Source organism: Homo sapiens, chromosome 12 (genome assembly GCF_000001405.40).
Source record: "Homo sapiens chromosome 12, GRCh38.p14 Primary Assembly".
Lineage (NCBI taxonomy): Eukaryota > Metazoa > Chordata > Mammalia > Primates > Hominidae > Homo > Homo sapiens.
In genome coordinates this window covers 56294963-56309221 of record NC_000012.12, presented here as the reverse complement: position 1 = coordinate 56309221, position 14259 = coordinate 56294963, and the positions used below count along the sequence as shown (strand labels likewise).

The following is a 14259-nucleotide window of genomic DNA, read 5'->3' as shown; positions in this document are numbered from 1 at the left end:
GTGTTAGCCAGGATGGTCTCGATCTCCTGACCTCATGATCCGCCCGCCTTGGCCTCCCCAAATGCTGGGATTACTGGTGTGAGCCACCGCACCTGGCAGAAAATTCTTAAGCACTCTGAGCTTGAGGTATGGTTGTCTCAGGGTTTCAAATGGAATATCTCCGGTCCCAAGAACACCTCAAGGAGAGAAGACCTGAATAAACATTTCAAAGGTTTTAAAAATTACATCATTTTAGAATCTAAAGGAACCTTAGAGGTCGTCTGGTTCACCTCTGCCCATTTTATTGATGAAGAAGCTGAGGCCCAGAGAAGCCATAGAACTTTATGAAGTTCTGTATTTAATGGCAAAACTGGGTCTATAAGCTAACTTTCCCAAGTGCTGACCTGATCTAATATAGCTATAGAGTACCTTCTATTTTAAGTCTTTTTTCTCTAATAATACCTTGCACTAAGCCTGGCGCATAGAATGCATATATTCCACAAAGCTTTCTTGTACCAAAAATCCCTGTGAAATCTGACAAATTAACTAGAGCACAGAGCAAGCACTCTGATATTTGTTGTCAACTAATATCAGCCTGGTGTTAATTCCATCTTCTCCCATCATCCATAAGAAATGCTGTGTTCGCTCTAGTTTTCCAAACCAACTATTATAAAGCTTATTTTTTCTTCTATGATGCATATAAGTAATAATTACATTTTTTCATGTCCCTGAAAGTATACCCAAGGTGCTGTCCATTTCGTGCTTCGTGCCTAAAAATGCCTTTCTTTTCCATCAGAAAGCTTATCAGAAGTATAAATGAGAGTACTCTTCAAGCCAAATGCGGTGGCTCGTGCCCATAATCCCAACACTTTGGGAGGCCAAGGTGGAAGGATCATGATCACTCGAGTCCAGGAGTTTGAGACCAGCCTAGGCAATATAGTGAGACCCCATTGCTACAAAAAATACAAAAATTAGCCGGCATAATGGTGTGCACCTGTGGTTCCAGCGACTCTGGAGGCCAAGGTGGCAAGATCTCTCGAACCCAGGAGGCTGAGGCTGCACTGAGCTGTGATTGCACTACTGCACTCTAGCCTAGGCAACAGAGTGAGACCCTGTCTCAAATACAATAAAGAGAGTTCTCTTCTGGAAACTTAAAACTGTTTTAATTTAGAAAACAAATTATTCATAGTTTTAAATAAATAAATTTAATGTTAATCAGTAACAAGTTACTTGTGATGCACCTTTCTGGTTTGTCAAAGTACAGCTGTTAAGAACTCTCCAGCTGGAGAGACTTTGTCATTGGTACACAAAGGATATGTCCTATATAGGAAAGGGTGGATGTTACCTTCTAGGCTTGATTAAGGATACACTTTGTGGGGTTTTTTTGTTTTTTGTTTTTTTTTTCCTGAGGGAGAGTCTCGCTCTGTCGCCCAGGCTGAAGTGCAGTGGTGCAATCTCGGCTTACTGCAACCTCCACCTCCTGGTTCAAGTGATTTTCCTGACTCAGCCTCCCAAGTAGCTGGGATTACAAGCATGTGCCATCATGCCCAGCTAATTTTTGAGTTTTTTGTAGAGACAGTGTTTCACCATGTTGGCCAGGCTGGTCTCAAACTCCTGGCTTCAAGTAACCCGCCTGCCTCAGCCTCCCAAAGTGTTGGGATTACAGGCGTGAGCCACCGTGCCCAGCAGGAAGATACACTTTGTAAACCTCTTATTTTTTTTATTATTATCATTATTATTATTACTATCTTAGCGAGACAGGGGTCTTGCTCTGTTGCCCAGGCTGGAGTGAAATGGCATGATCATAACTCATTGCAGCCTCTAACTCCTGGCTTCAAGCAATCCTCCTGCCTTGGCCTCCTGAGTTTCTAGGATTACAGGCAAGCACCACCATGCCTGGCTTTGCACATGTTTTAATTCATATCACAAGGAATGCATGAATTTATCTGAACCCTCTGGAGGTTCATTATAATAAATTATAGCCCAGTATTTGGTAGAGCATATGCTCTTAACCTTGTAAATCTGATCAAGCTTCAGATGCCTTCTAACTTAGTTTATCAGTAAAATGTTAGAACTTAACAAACATTTCCGAAGACAGTGTTAAATGAGGTACAGATATAACAGGAAAGTTTATTATGTGAAAATTTAGTCCTTTAGAAATACGTTTTAGGGCTGGGCCCAGTGGATCATGCCTGTAATCCCAGCACTTGGGGATGCCGAGGTGGACAGATCAATTGAGGCCAGGAGTTCGAGACCAAGCCTGGGCAACATGCCAAAAACCCATCTCTACCAAAAATACAAAAATTAGCCAGGTGTAGTGGCATGCGCCTATAATCCCAGCTACTAGGGAGGCAGAGGTTACAGTGAAGATTGCGCCACTGCACTTCAGCCTGGGCAATAAAGTGCGACTCAAAAAAAGGTTTAGTCCAGATGCAGTGGCTCACACCTATAATCCCAACACTTTGGGAGGCTGAGGCAGGAGGATCTTTTGAGCCCAGGAGTTTGAGACCACCCTGGACAACATAGCAGGACCCTGTCTATGCAAAAAAATTAGCTGGGTATAGTGGCAGGCATCTGTAGTCCTAGCTACTCAGTAGGCTAAGGTGGGAGGACTGCTTGAGCCAGGGAGATCGAGATTGCAGTGAGTCATGATCTCGCCACTGCACTCCAGCCTGGGCAACAGAGCAAGACCCTGTCTCAAAAAAAAAAAAAAAAAAAGTGAAGTGGCATGATCTCGACTCACTGCAACCTCCACCTCCCAGGTTCAAGTGATTCTCCTGCCTCAGCCTCCCAAGTAGCTGGGACTACAGGTGCCTGCCACCATGCCCGGCTAATTTTTGTATTTTTAATAGAGGTGGGGTTTCACCATGTTGGCCAGACTGGTCTTGAACTCCTGATCTGAAATGATCCACCCACTTTGGCCTCCCGAAGTGCTGGGATTACAGGCATGAGCCACTGCCTGGCCGAAAAAAAAAAAAAAAAAACTTTTATAGGATTTTTTAACTTAAAAAGCATTCATAGGTACAATATTCCTTTAAATATAGGACAGGGGCCAGGTGCAGTGGTTCACGCCTGTAATCCCAGCAGTTTTGGGGGCTGAGGCAGCGGATCACTTGAGTTCAGAAATTCAAGACCAGTCTGGGCAACATGGAGAAACCCCATCTCTACAAAAAATACAAAAATTAACCAGGCAGGGCACACCTGTAGTCCCAGCCACCCAGGAGGCTGAGGTGGGAGGGTGGCTTGGGCCCAGGAGGTTGCCGTGAGCTGAGATCTTGCCACTGCACTCCAGCCTGGGTGACAGAGCCAGACCCTGTCATAAATAAATAGGAATAAATAGCATGGGGAAGGGAAATAATATATGCTGAATACTTGTATAACAAGCACATACACACTCATTTAATCTTTTTTTTCTTTTTTTTTTTTTTTTTTTTGAGACAGGGTTTTGCTGTGTTGTCCAGGCTGGAGTACAGTGGTGAGATTATGGCTCACTGCAACCTCCACCTCCCAGGCTCCAGCAATGCTCCCACCTCAGCCTCCTGAGTAGCTGGGACTACAGACGCGCATCACCAGGCCCAACTAACTTAAAAAATGTTTCGTAGAGATGGGATCTTGCTGTTTTGCCCAGGCTGGTCTCAAACTCCTGGGCTCCAGTGATCCTCTTGGCCTCCCAAAGTGCCAGGATTACAAATGTGAGCCACCTTGCCTGGCCTCATTTAATCTTTGCAACTCTAAGAAATAGATGTTATTCCTATTTTATAGATGAAGAAACTAAGCTCAGAGAGATTAAGTGTCTTGCTAGTCAGCGAGGAGCCAAGACTTCAACCCCAGTGATCCTCTAATCCGTAGTCCAGTCATCCTCTAATCCCTAGTCCAGTCATCTTTCTGTTATACCTCATTCTATGTAGTGGAGTCTCCAAGTGGCTGTATAAAGTAGCACTTTTTAAATATGGCTTGAAAAACTGTCTCCAAGTTTGAATGTATGCCCTCTGATTCTAGTAATCTGTAGTGGAAAAGCATTATATCCTCTGTTCAGCCATTTTTCCTGACTATTCCTTATAAGACACCCCTTTTACCTTTCTGGTCATTTTTTGTTTGTTTTTGCTGTTGTTGTTGTTTGAGACAGAGTCTCGCTCTTGCCCAGGCTGGAGCGCAGTGATGCAATCTCGGCTCACTGCAACCTCTGCTTCCCCTGCTCATGTGATTCTCCTACCTGAGCCTCCCAAGTAGCTGGGATTACAGACGTGCACCACCATGCCCGGCTAATTCTGTATTTTTAGTAAAGACAGGGTTTCTCCATGTTGGTCAGGCTGGTCTCAAACTCCCAACCTCAGGTGATCTGCCCGCCTCAGTCTCCCAAAGTGCTGGGATTACAGGCATGAGCCACTGCGCCCAGCCTAATTTTTGTATTTTTAGTAGAGACGGGGTTTCAACATGTTGGCCAGGCTGGTCTCAAACTCCTGACCTCAAGTAATCTGCCTGTCTTGGCCTCCCAAAATTCTGGGATTACAGGAGTGAGCCACAATGCCTGGGCTGTAGTATTTGAGACAAGCTTGCTCAGTCGCCCAGGCTGGAATGGAGTACATGGAGTGCAGTGGTATGATCATGGCTCACTGTAGCCTCAACCTCCTCAGCTCAACTGATCCTCCAACCTCAGCCGCCCCAGTAGCTGGGACTATAGGCGCACACCACCTGGACTGGCTAATTTTTACATTTTTTGTAGAGGTGGAATTTCATCATGTTGCCCAGGGTGGACTTGAATTCCTGGTCTCAGGTGATCCTCCTGCCTTGGCCTTCCAAAGTGCTGAGACTACCACGCCTGGATTATAGGCATGAGAAACCACACCCAGCCCCCTTTCTGGTCATTTCAAATGCTGAATGTTTGTCTCTCCTACCTTTATGTATTCTGGGAGTCACCATTTATTATCTAGTTCACATATGGATGTGAAAGTCTTTACAGATGAGTAAGACTATAGTTCCTTATCTTTTATTTTTATGTTTTTTTTAGAGAAAAGGTCTCACTATGTTGCCCAATCTGGAGTACAGTGGCTGTTCACAGGCATGATCATTAGGCACTATAGCCTCAAACTCCTGGGCTCAAGCAATCCTCCTGCCTCAGCCTCCCTAGCAACTGAAACTACAGGCACATTCCACCTTGCTTGGCTTAAATATCTTTTTATTTATTTATTTATTTTTGAGACGGAGTCTCGCTCTGTTGCCCAGGCTGGAGTGCAGTGGCACAATCTTGGCTCCCTGCAAGCTCCGCCTCCTGGGTTTGCGCCATTCTCCTGTCTCAGCCTCCCGAGTAGCTGGGACTACAGGCGCCCGCCACCACACCCGGCTAACTTTTTGTATTTTTAGTAGAGACAGGGTTTCACCGTGTTAACCAGGATGGTCTCAATCTCCTGACCTTGTGATCCACCCGCCTCGGCCTCCCAAAGTGCTGGGATTATAGGCGTGAGCCACCATGCCCGGCCGAAATATCTTTATAGCAACACAGTGAGTTGATGTCTCCAGGAGACAGTTGACAGTGACTCAAAAATCCCCTTACTGAGTTGCAGCTGATAGTTCACAATTGCCAGATGTGGTGGCTCATGCTTGTAATCCCAACACTTTGGGAGACCAAGGAAGGAGGATCACTTGAGCCCAGAAGTTCAAGACCAGCCTGGGCAACATGGCAAGACCCTGTCTCTAAAAAAAAAAAAAAGGAAAAATTAGCCAGGTGTGGTGGTGAGTACCTGTAGTCCCAGCTACTTGGGAGAGTGAGGTGGGAGGATCGCTTGAGGCCAGGAAGTTGGGCAGCAGTGAGCAACGATCATGCCACTGCGTTCCAGCCTGGGTTACAGAGCAAGACCTTCTCTCAAAAAAAAAAAAAAAATCATAATCATCATGTAAGACATACAGCTTAGGGCCAGGCGCAGTGGCCAACCTGGCCAACATAGTGAAACCTTGTCTCTACTAAAAATACAAAAATTAGCTGAGTGTGGTGGCATGCGCCCGTAATCCCAGCTACTTGGGAGGCGGAGGCAGAAGAATCGCTTGAACCAGGGAGGCAGAGGTTGCAGTGAGCTGAGATTGTGCCACTGCGCTCCAGCCTGGGCTACACAGTGAGACTCCATCTCAAAAAAAAAAAAAGAAAAAGAAATACAGCCTAGTAATGCTGACCTTGGTCTGAATTTATAGCCATGCCAATTACAAGCTATGACACTGGGTAGGATACTTCATCTAAGTCTTGGTTTTCTCTTCTTTTTATTTTTTAATACCTTGAAACTTAGAGTTGTTGCAAAGATTAAGATAATGCACATTCCAGGCCAGGCACAGTGGCTCATGCCTGTAATCCTAGCACTTTGGAGACCAGCCTGGGCAACATGGTGAAACCCCATCTCTACTAAAATAGAAAAAAAAAAAAAAATTAGCCAGGCGTGGCGGCGTGTGCCACCTAGGAGGTGGAGGTTGCAGTGAGCCGAGATCATACCACTGCACTCCAGGCTGGGCAACAGAACAAGACTCTATCTCCAAAAAAAAAAAAAAAAAAAAAAAGATAATGCATGTTCCACATTTAGATAGTATCTGCAAATAGTAAGGGATCCTCCAGTTTAAGTTTTAGCTATTATCTATTAAATAGAGGCGTTTGGTTTACCTTGTAGTTTAAGGGTTTAAATTTAGATTTTATTAGCCCACTTGTCCTTTGCCACTAGGGGGTGCTATTGCCTCCCTACACTTTAAAGAGGTCCTCCCAAGGTCACAACAACCTAAATTCTCAGCCTTCTCTCCCTTGCCCCTTCAAGTTCCCAAGCACTTAGTTATACCTGGACCTAGAGCTCACTTGGCTGCTTTATTCATGCCAATCTTTCTTCCTTAACATTCTCTCCAACCTCCCCAGGTCCCATCAGTGTTGAGAAGGAATCTAGGCCAGCTCCTGGGAGATGCCAGTTAGCCGCTTTGATCCTGTGCTTTCCAATTGCCCTTATAGCAGTCGATGTCAGGATTGGACAACTTCAAAACAAGTCCATAAAGTCCCCATGGCACTAGGGGCTCTGGGACCCAGTGTCGAGAGGCTTAGAGCATTGCTGTTCCCCACCCAATCACTAAAGCTCCAAGACAGATGATCCTGTGGCCTCTCAATAATTGTCCCTTTGGTAGTCTCATCCTGGGGCACTGAAGTTCAGTCCTGTGGTCTGCTGGTTAGTCTCTGTGGATAATTAACCAGAGAAAAGGAACCAGGTCAGACTATTCTAGGGTTATGTGGAAATCCTTTATGAGATGCTAAATGGGGAGCAAATATTGATCAGTGAAGCTTTGAAGTCACCGGGGTCTTCAAAGGTAGCTGAGGTCAGTGCTCCTCTGGAGCATTGCCTAAAGTTTTTTCCTGAGACCTAACTATCTGATCCCCAGGCCAGAAGAGCATTGGTTGTTAGGTGTGAAGCTGAGTATAAAGAAAATTAAGAAGAGAAAATAGGGGTTTTCTATCTCTTTTTCCAAGTCCAAGCTAGAAACTCGGTTCTTTGTAAAGGAGATCTATCTAAACCTGGCTTAGGTGGATACTGAGACCTGTGATCCTTGTTACTGCTATGTGGTGAGATAAAAGGGCTATTCACAGCTGGGCACGGTGGCTCACGCCTGTAATCCCAGTACTTTGGGAGCCCGAGGCGGGTGGATCACCTGAGGTCAGGATTTCGAGACCAGTCTGACCAACATGGCAAAACCCCATCTCTACTAAGAATACAAAAATTAGCTGGGCGTGGTGGCGGGCGCCTATAATCCCAGCTACTCAGGAGGCTGAGATCGCACCACTGCAATCCAGCCTCAGCTACAGAGCAAGATCTGTCTCCAAAAAAAAAAAAGGCTTTTCACTTGGGGCTGGAGGTTTGTAGATAAGATGCTCTTGTCCTTGGGGTCAATGACTACGACAGGCTTAGGGAGGCACAAAAGTCCTGAAGCCTCGTCTACCCAGAGGATTTAGAAAGTGGTGCGGAATATCACTTCAGGGTCGTGTCATGGTCTCTGGGGAGCACAAGATAAGAGAGCATAGAAGACTGCCAAGTAGGAGAAGTGGCCCAGAGGCCCTAGAGAATGTGACCAAAGGGGATCTTCGATGAGGGGCTAGTCTGCGGCTCCTAATCTGTGGCTAAAGTGGGGTGAGCTGCTGTGTGGGGTTACGTGACCAGAGTGGCAGTGAGACTAATGCCCATGACCCAGAAGCTGTGGCTGGCTCGGAAAGCCTTCATAGTAAGGGCGCAGTTAAGACTTGGATTTCCTGCCATTACACACAGAACTGACAGCTCACAAAGCACTGGATATTCAGGCTCCTGCTTTTGCTTTTCTCCCCATATCGGGGTCTGTTAGTATCTATAATATCGTGGCCTCTGCTGACCTCAAATGATCTCCACCGAGCAGCTAACTCTGGCATCCTAGCCTGTTGTCCACATGATGTCACCTCCATGGCCGTGAAGCCATTAACCAAAGACATTCCTCAAGAAAGCGCGCCAAGGCGGTAGAAGGATCAGGCAATGATCAGTTTCCATGATCATATTACGGAATTGGCTCCAAGGACCTTCAGAGGTCGAGTCCTGGAGCGTCTCCTTTAGCATTCGCCTCAGAGATAACCCCAAAAGTGTTAAGGTCAAAGGGAAAAGCCAAGAGGGAAGTTAACTGAGTTATCAGGCACCTATTTAGCCACCCGCACTTCCCCGCCCGCCACCCATCCACCCTTAATTAGCCCTAATCCGGGCGGTCCAATCCTCCCCGTCACAACTGCTGTCAAGGGCTAAGGTCCCGCCCCGCTTCCATACCGGACCAATGGCCGGGCCCGGGGAGAGTCCCTTGAGAGGGGCGGGCTCGGGTTCCGGCCAGTGGGCGGGGCCTCCTTGAGGACCCCGGGCTGGGCGCCGCCGCCGGTTCGTCTACTCTTTCCTTCAGCCGCCTCCTTTCAACCTTGTCAACCCGTCGGCGCGGCCTCTGGTGCAGCGGCGGCGGCTCCTGTTCCTGCCGCAGCTCTCTCCCTTTCTTACCTCCCCACCAGATCCCGGAGATCGCCCGCCATGGCTTTACTTACTGCGGCCGCCCGGCTCTTGGGAACCAAGGTGAGCAGCGAGGGGAGGGAGCACGCCGTCCCAGGGTGGGGCTGAGGCGACCGCAGGCCCTCCGGCGCCGGGGTCTCCCTCCCACACCCGTGCGCACCCTGCGCGCCTTAAAGGGCCCTGCGCTTGGCTGGCCGCCAGCCCTGCGTGAAGCTACAGGACCATGTGCCGCGCTTCCCTTCTGGCTCCTGGGGGTGAAGTGCACGCCGCCCGCCCTCGGCCCGCAGTCCAGAACGCGTGAGGAGGCCGACCCTGCTGTCACCCCGCATGTCTGAAATGAAAGGGGAAGGGATGCGTGGCCCTGAAATAGCAAGGAGCCGAGACAGGAACCTCTGGTAGAGACTAGAGATGTGGTGTTCCACTGGAGTTACAGTCAGTTTGGTGGAGGGAGCGGGAGTGAAGATATGTGCTCACTCTGGAGCAGTGGCTAATTTCGTCCTCTGCTTTGTAGGAAGGGCCTTGTCAGTTCCCGAACTGCCTGTTTCCATTTCTCCAAGCCTATTATTTAAGCCTTCGGTGACCACGCCGAGCACAAGAGTGGGTCCTTCAGGCCCTCCTCTTTGTCCTTGGGACTCTTGCACTTTTTATATAGGAGGAGCTTGGGTGGGGTGGAGCACTTCTGTACAACCTCCTGCATGACTATCATACATGATTGCAGAAAGAACCAGAAAGGTGTTTCCACCAAACTGCAAGCCAATAAATGAAGATCCTCGGCAAGAGATACTAATGCCAAGGTCACATGACCGTCATACTACTTGCTTACCCAGGTTATGCCGTTGATCTTAAGTCTACTTTATCCAGGAACTTTCTCTCCTTCTTTGGGGTCCTTTACTTGGTATTGATTGCCTTTTGGGACATAGAAATACTGTTGCAGGTAATGATGCCTTCAATTTCAAATTGCAGTACTTTTAGTTCTAAGTAACTTGGCCCTTTTAGACAGAAACTGCTGTGCTGAGGGAGTCCCAGCCCTCTAATCCAAGCAGGGGACAGTCCCACAAGTGACCTTGACTTCTGCAAAGAACTTAGTTTTTCCTGCGGATAATTTAAAGCTGACAGCATCTGAAGGAAAGGAAAGCCTTAGGATGGTTTTGGCTTGCTGTATGTAATTTTTTTTTTTTTTTGAGACAGGATATTGCTCTGTCACTCAAGCTGGAGTCTTGTGGTGTGACCAAGGCTCCCTGCAGCCTCCACCTCCTGGGCTCAAGCAATCCTCCCACTTCAGCTTCCCGAGTAGCTGGGACCACAGGTGTGCACCGCCACGCCTGGCTAATCTTTTTTGATTTTTAGTAGAGGCAGCGTCTCCTTATGTTGCCCAGGCTGGTCTTGAACTCCTGAGCTCAAGTAATCTTCCTGCCTCGGCCTCCCAAAGTGCTGGGATTACAGGTGTGAACCACTGCACCTGGCCTGCTGTGCGTTATTTTTCATGGTTGGCACAAAGTGAAATTTGTAAGATTTACCTTGGTTCTTCCAGGCACCCAGTGGCAAGTACTAGCTGAGCATTTGGGAGATGCTTGTCTTACTTGGCTGTTGCTTCTCCTGCTGCTGGGGAAAAGGGTAAGGAAACCTCTTGGGAAATGAAGCAAGTTCTAGATAGCGTTTTGGCAGAATGGGGGACACTATAATTAGCTCATTTCTGAGCTGCTAACCCAGACCAGATAGTCTAACCCTGCAGTGAATGTGAAAAAGCCTTGGGATTTACCTATTGAATTTATTTTCCTCCTTAAGCCCATAGGGAAGCTCAGAACACTTTTGGGATGACAGAGCTACATAATTATGGTACCATTATTTTCCTGTTAGAGATGGCCTGACGATCCTAGTCACCTATCAGTTGAAAGCCATTAGAAGGCTTTTGACCCTTAAAAGTAGGTCAGGTGCAGTGGCTCACACCTGTAATCTCAGCACTTTGGGAGGCAGAGGCGGGTGGATCACCTGAGGTCGGGAATTTGAGACCAGCCTGACCAACATGGAGAAACCTCATCTCTACGAAAAATACAAAATTAGCCAGACATGGTGGCACATGCCTGTAATCATAGCTACTTGGGAGGCTGAGGCAGGAGGATCGCTCAAACCCAGGAGGCGGATGTTGTGGTGAGCCCAGATCGCTCCATTGCACTCCAGCCTGGGCAACAAGAGCGAAACTCCGTTTCAAAGAGAAAAAAAAGGGCGGGGGGGGTAGCAAAGCCCAATAATGAGTTTATTGGACTGGAAATCTCCTGAGAAATAAGCAATATGACCAGGGTACCAAGAAGCTTGTTGGCTTGTCAGCATTGCTAGCACCTGCCTGTGCTTTCTAGATTAGCCTGTGGATAATGCTAGTCATAATTGGTAATTTTACTTTTGCTAGTAAGGTAGACTTTGGGAGGCAGTAATTTCCTACCAGGGAGAACTGACTCTTACCACTTTGAGTCTCAGCGTCAGGTGTAGTTTTACTTTTCTGAGAAGAAATTTTTTTTTGTTTTGAGACAGAGTCTTACTCTGTCACTCAGGCTGGAGTGCAGTGGCGTAATCTCCGCTCACTGTAACCTCTGCCTCCCAGGCTCAAGCGATTCTCGTGACTCAGCCTCCTGAGTAGCTGGGGTTAGCAGGTGTGCACCACCACGCCCAGCTAATTTTTTGTATTTTTGGTAGAGACGGGGTTTCACCATATTGGCCAGACTGGCGAATTTTTTTAACCTTACTAGGAGACAACATGTGAATTAGTCATTGTTCTATTGTTCTACTCTCACTGTCACATAATTTAAATGTCACATAATTTAAAACACCTGAGTTAGAAGCTAATTCAGAGAGCTTTGAGATTATTTGACTTCTTGTTTATCCAAATTCATTAATGCTAAGCAATGGCCTTAGTATTATCTGTGGGTGACTCAGTTTTGTGACATCAAAAATGTCTTTTCACAGATGATCTGGGTTTGGATTTGGGCTAGGAATTGAAGTAGGGCTGCAGTTCACTTCTGGACTTTTGAAGTCAACATGCTTAACCAACCCTAGCTAAAGGGAACTGTCTCTTGAGCCACTGAAAATTGCTTCTCCAAGCTAGTATGTTTGAAACTGAGTAAATCAATTCAAAGATGTTTCTAGATTACTTCTAGACTTTTTCAAGACACTTAAATGCAAAGGAACCAATGGTTTCTTTACATTGGACTTATACCACTGTACAACATCACCTGTATAAGTCCTACTCAGAAATTGGGTTCAACAAAACCGAGTTGGTTTTGTCCTGCAAAATATTTAGTTAGGTTTTAAAGCCCAAATTTTTTAAAGGTAAGGGCTCATATCTCTGTGCCCTCACTTTGACTATCAGCCTACCCAAAGTAACGGTGATTCCTTGATACTAGAATGGCAGGGGAAGCCTTATGGGGTGTTAGTGGTGAGATGACTGCATTTGGTCTTCCCAGTGGCCTTTAGGTTGGTAGCAGGTGAATGAATGCATGGGGAGGCAGCAAGAATAGTATGGTAGGTAGCAGCGATAGAGTTGGCATTCCTGACTTAAAATCCAAGGGGCAGCAGAAGGGAAACCAGACTTGGTGGATTTCAATAAAGCCACACAATGATTCTTTCTGCCCTGTGTCAATACTTTATGCAACAGAGTAGGATGTGAAATTTAAAACCGTAATGAGGCAACTGTAGCAATAGATCTTTCTTAGCATCTGATTATCTTTCAGTTCTGGCTTCAACTGTGCTTCAACTGCACAAGTTCCTTAGTTCTCTGTTTTGGGTTTTTTTTGGGGGGTGGGGCTGGAGTGCAGTGGTGCGAACATGGCTTGCTATTACTACAGCCTCAACCTCATGGGCCCAAGCAATCCCCCCGAGTAGCTGGGACCACAGGCACGCACAGCCACGCCTGGCTAATTTTTTTGTAGTTTTTTTGGAGACAGTGTTTTGCCATGTTGTCCAGGCTGGTTTCGAACTCCTGGGCTCAAGCAATCCACCAGTCTCAGCTTCCCAAAGTGCTGAGATTACAGGCGTGAGCCACTGCACCCAGCCCTCTGTATTTCTTTTAACATGATGCTATTTTAAAAGGTCTGTAAACTCACAGTGGGCATTGTCACCTGTAATGCTTGCTTATGTTGCAGTTTCCTGGATCCTACCTTCAGATTACAATTCTGCAAAGTAGGATGGGATCTGGAAAAGTTTCTTGTAAATCCCTAAAGTGTCAGGGAGTTAAAACTTGTAAGAACTTCTTTTTTTTTTTTTTTTTTTTTTTTTTTTTTGAGACAGTTTCGCTCTGTCGCCTAGGCTAGAGTGCGGTGGCTCGATCCCGGCTCACTGCAAGATCCGCCTCTGGGGTTCACGCCATTCTCCTGCCTCAGCCTCCTGAGTAGCTGGGACTGTAGGCGCCCACCACCTCGCCCCGCTAATTTTTTGTATTTTTAGTAGAGACAGGGTTTCACCGTGTTAGCCAGGATGGTCTCGATCTCCTGACCTCGTGATCCGCCCGCCTCCACCTCCCACAGTGCTGGGATTACAGGCGTGAGCTGCCGCGCCCAGCCATAAAACTTCTACGAACTTCTAGCAGAAGTAAGGGAATAGTTTCTAATTCCTGAGAAAGTATTATGATGACAGATCCTATATTCTTTATTCACTAGTATATACTTAGTGTACACATAATAAGTAGGTGTTCAAGAATTTTTTTTTTTTCCTTGAGATGGAGTCTCGCTCTGTCACCCAGGCTGGAGTGCAGTGGTGTGATCTCGGCTCACTGCAACCTCTGCCTCCCGGGTTCAAGCTATTCTCCTGCCTCAGCCTCCCTAGTAGCTGGGACTACAGGCACATGCCACCACGCCGGGCTAATTTTTGTATTTTTAGTAGAGATGGGGTTTCACCATGTTGGCCAGGATGGTCTTGAACTCCTGACCTCGTGATCCACCCGCCTCAGCCTCCCAAAATGCTGGGATTACAGGCATGAGCCACCGTGCCCGGCCAAGAAATATTTATTAGCTAGGCATGATGGCTTATGTCTATAATTCCAGCACTTTGGGAGGCTGAGGTAGGAGGATCACTTGAGCCCAGTAGTTTGAGATCAGCCTGGCAACATAGCAAGACCTTGTCTCTTAAAAAAAAAAAAAAAGTTCATTAAATTAAAGTACAATAAGTGTTGGCCAGGCACAGTGGCTCACGCCTGTAATCCCAGCCCTTTGGGAGACTGAGGTGGGCAGATCACTTGAGGTCAGGAGTTCGAGACCAGCCTGGCCAACATGGT

At 47.0% G+C, this 14259-nt stretch overlaps 1 protein-coding gene across 1 annotated transcript in view, besides 8 other annotated features; it reads left to right on the top strand.

The window, feature by feature from the left end:
• Positions 3731–3931: a silencer, noted in NCBI's record as "peak1741 fragment used in MPRA reporter construct". NCBI's record gives its function as "represses an SCP1 promoter by STARR-seq MPRAs in K562 erythroleukemia cells {active_cell/tissue: K562}" and the evidence as "EXISTENCE:reporter gene assay evidence [ECO:0000049][PMID:32103011]".
• Positions 6290–6339: an enhancer, noted in NCBI's record as "active region_6488". NCBI's record gives its function as "activates an Ori minimal core promoter by ATAC-STARR-seq in GM12878 lymphoblastoid cells {active_cell/tissue: GM12878}" and the evidence as "EXISTENCE:reporter gene assay evidence [ECO:0000049][PMID:35858748]".
• Positions 6968–7137: an enhancer, noted in NCBI's record as "experimental_29680 CRE fragment used in MPRA reporter constructs". NCBI's record gives its function as "activates a minimal promoter by MPRAs in K562 erythroleukemia cells, with activity observed for both the introgressed and non-introgressed 12:56695954 variant alleles {active_cell/tissue: K562}" and the evidence as "EXISTENCE:reporter gene assay evidence [ECO:0000049][PMID:34662402]".
• Positions 8657–8936: a silencer, noted in NCBI's record as "silent region_4557". NCBI's record gives its function as "represses an Ori minimal core promoter by ATAC-STARR-seq in GM12878 lymphoblastoid cells {active_cell/tissue: GM12878}" and the evidence as "EXISTENCE:reporter gene assay evidence [ECO:0000049][PMID:35858748]".
• The window catches only part of CS (citrate synthase), a 28632-nt gene continuing 23264 nt past the window's right edge, over positions 8892–14259 (top strand). Inside the window, exon 1 of the mRNA NM_004077.3 lies at positions 8892–9062. Coding sequence (NP_004068.2) covers positions 9021–9062 — 42 coding nt within the window. The 5' untranslated portion in view covers positions 8892–9020. The remainder of the gene's footprint in view (positions 9063–14259) is intronic.
• Positions 9017–9206: a silencer, noted in NCBI's record as "silent region_4556". NCBI's record gives its function as "represses an Ori minimal core promoter by ATAC-STARR-seq in GM12878 lymphoblastoid cells {active_cell/tissue: GM12878}" and the evidence as "EXISTENCE:reporter gene assay evidence [ECO:0000049][PMID:35858748]".
• Positions 9194–9711: an enhancer, noted in NCBI's record as "H3K27ac-H3K4me1 hESC enhancer chr12:56693295-56693812 (GRCh37/hg19 assembly coordinates)". NCBI's record gives its function as "activates a minimal SCP1, AML or CMV promoter by ChIP-STARR-seq in primed H9 embryonic stem cells {active_cell/tissue: H9 hESC(primed)}" and the evidence as "EXISTENCE:reporter gene assay evidence [ECO:0000049][PMID:30033119]".
• Positions 9402–9571: an enhancer, noted in NCBI's record as "experimental_29679 CRE fragment used in MPRA reporter constructs". NCBI's record gives its function as "activates a minimal promoter by MPRAs in K562 erythroleukemia cells, with activity observed for both the introgressed and non-introgressed 12:56693520 variant alleles {active_cell/tissue: K562}" and the evidence as "EXISTENCE:reporter gene assay evidence [ECO:0000049][PMID:34662402]".
• Positions 9407–9626: an enhancer, noted in NCBI's record as "active region_6487". NCBI's record gives its function as "activates an Ori minimal core promoter by ATAC-STARR-seq in GM12878 lymphoblastoid cells {active_cell/tissue: GM12878}" and the evidence as "EXISTENCE:reporter gene assay evidence [ECO:0000049][PMID:35858748]".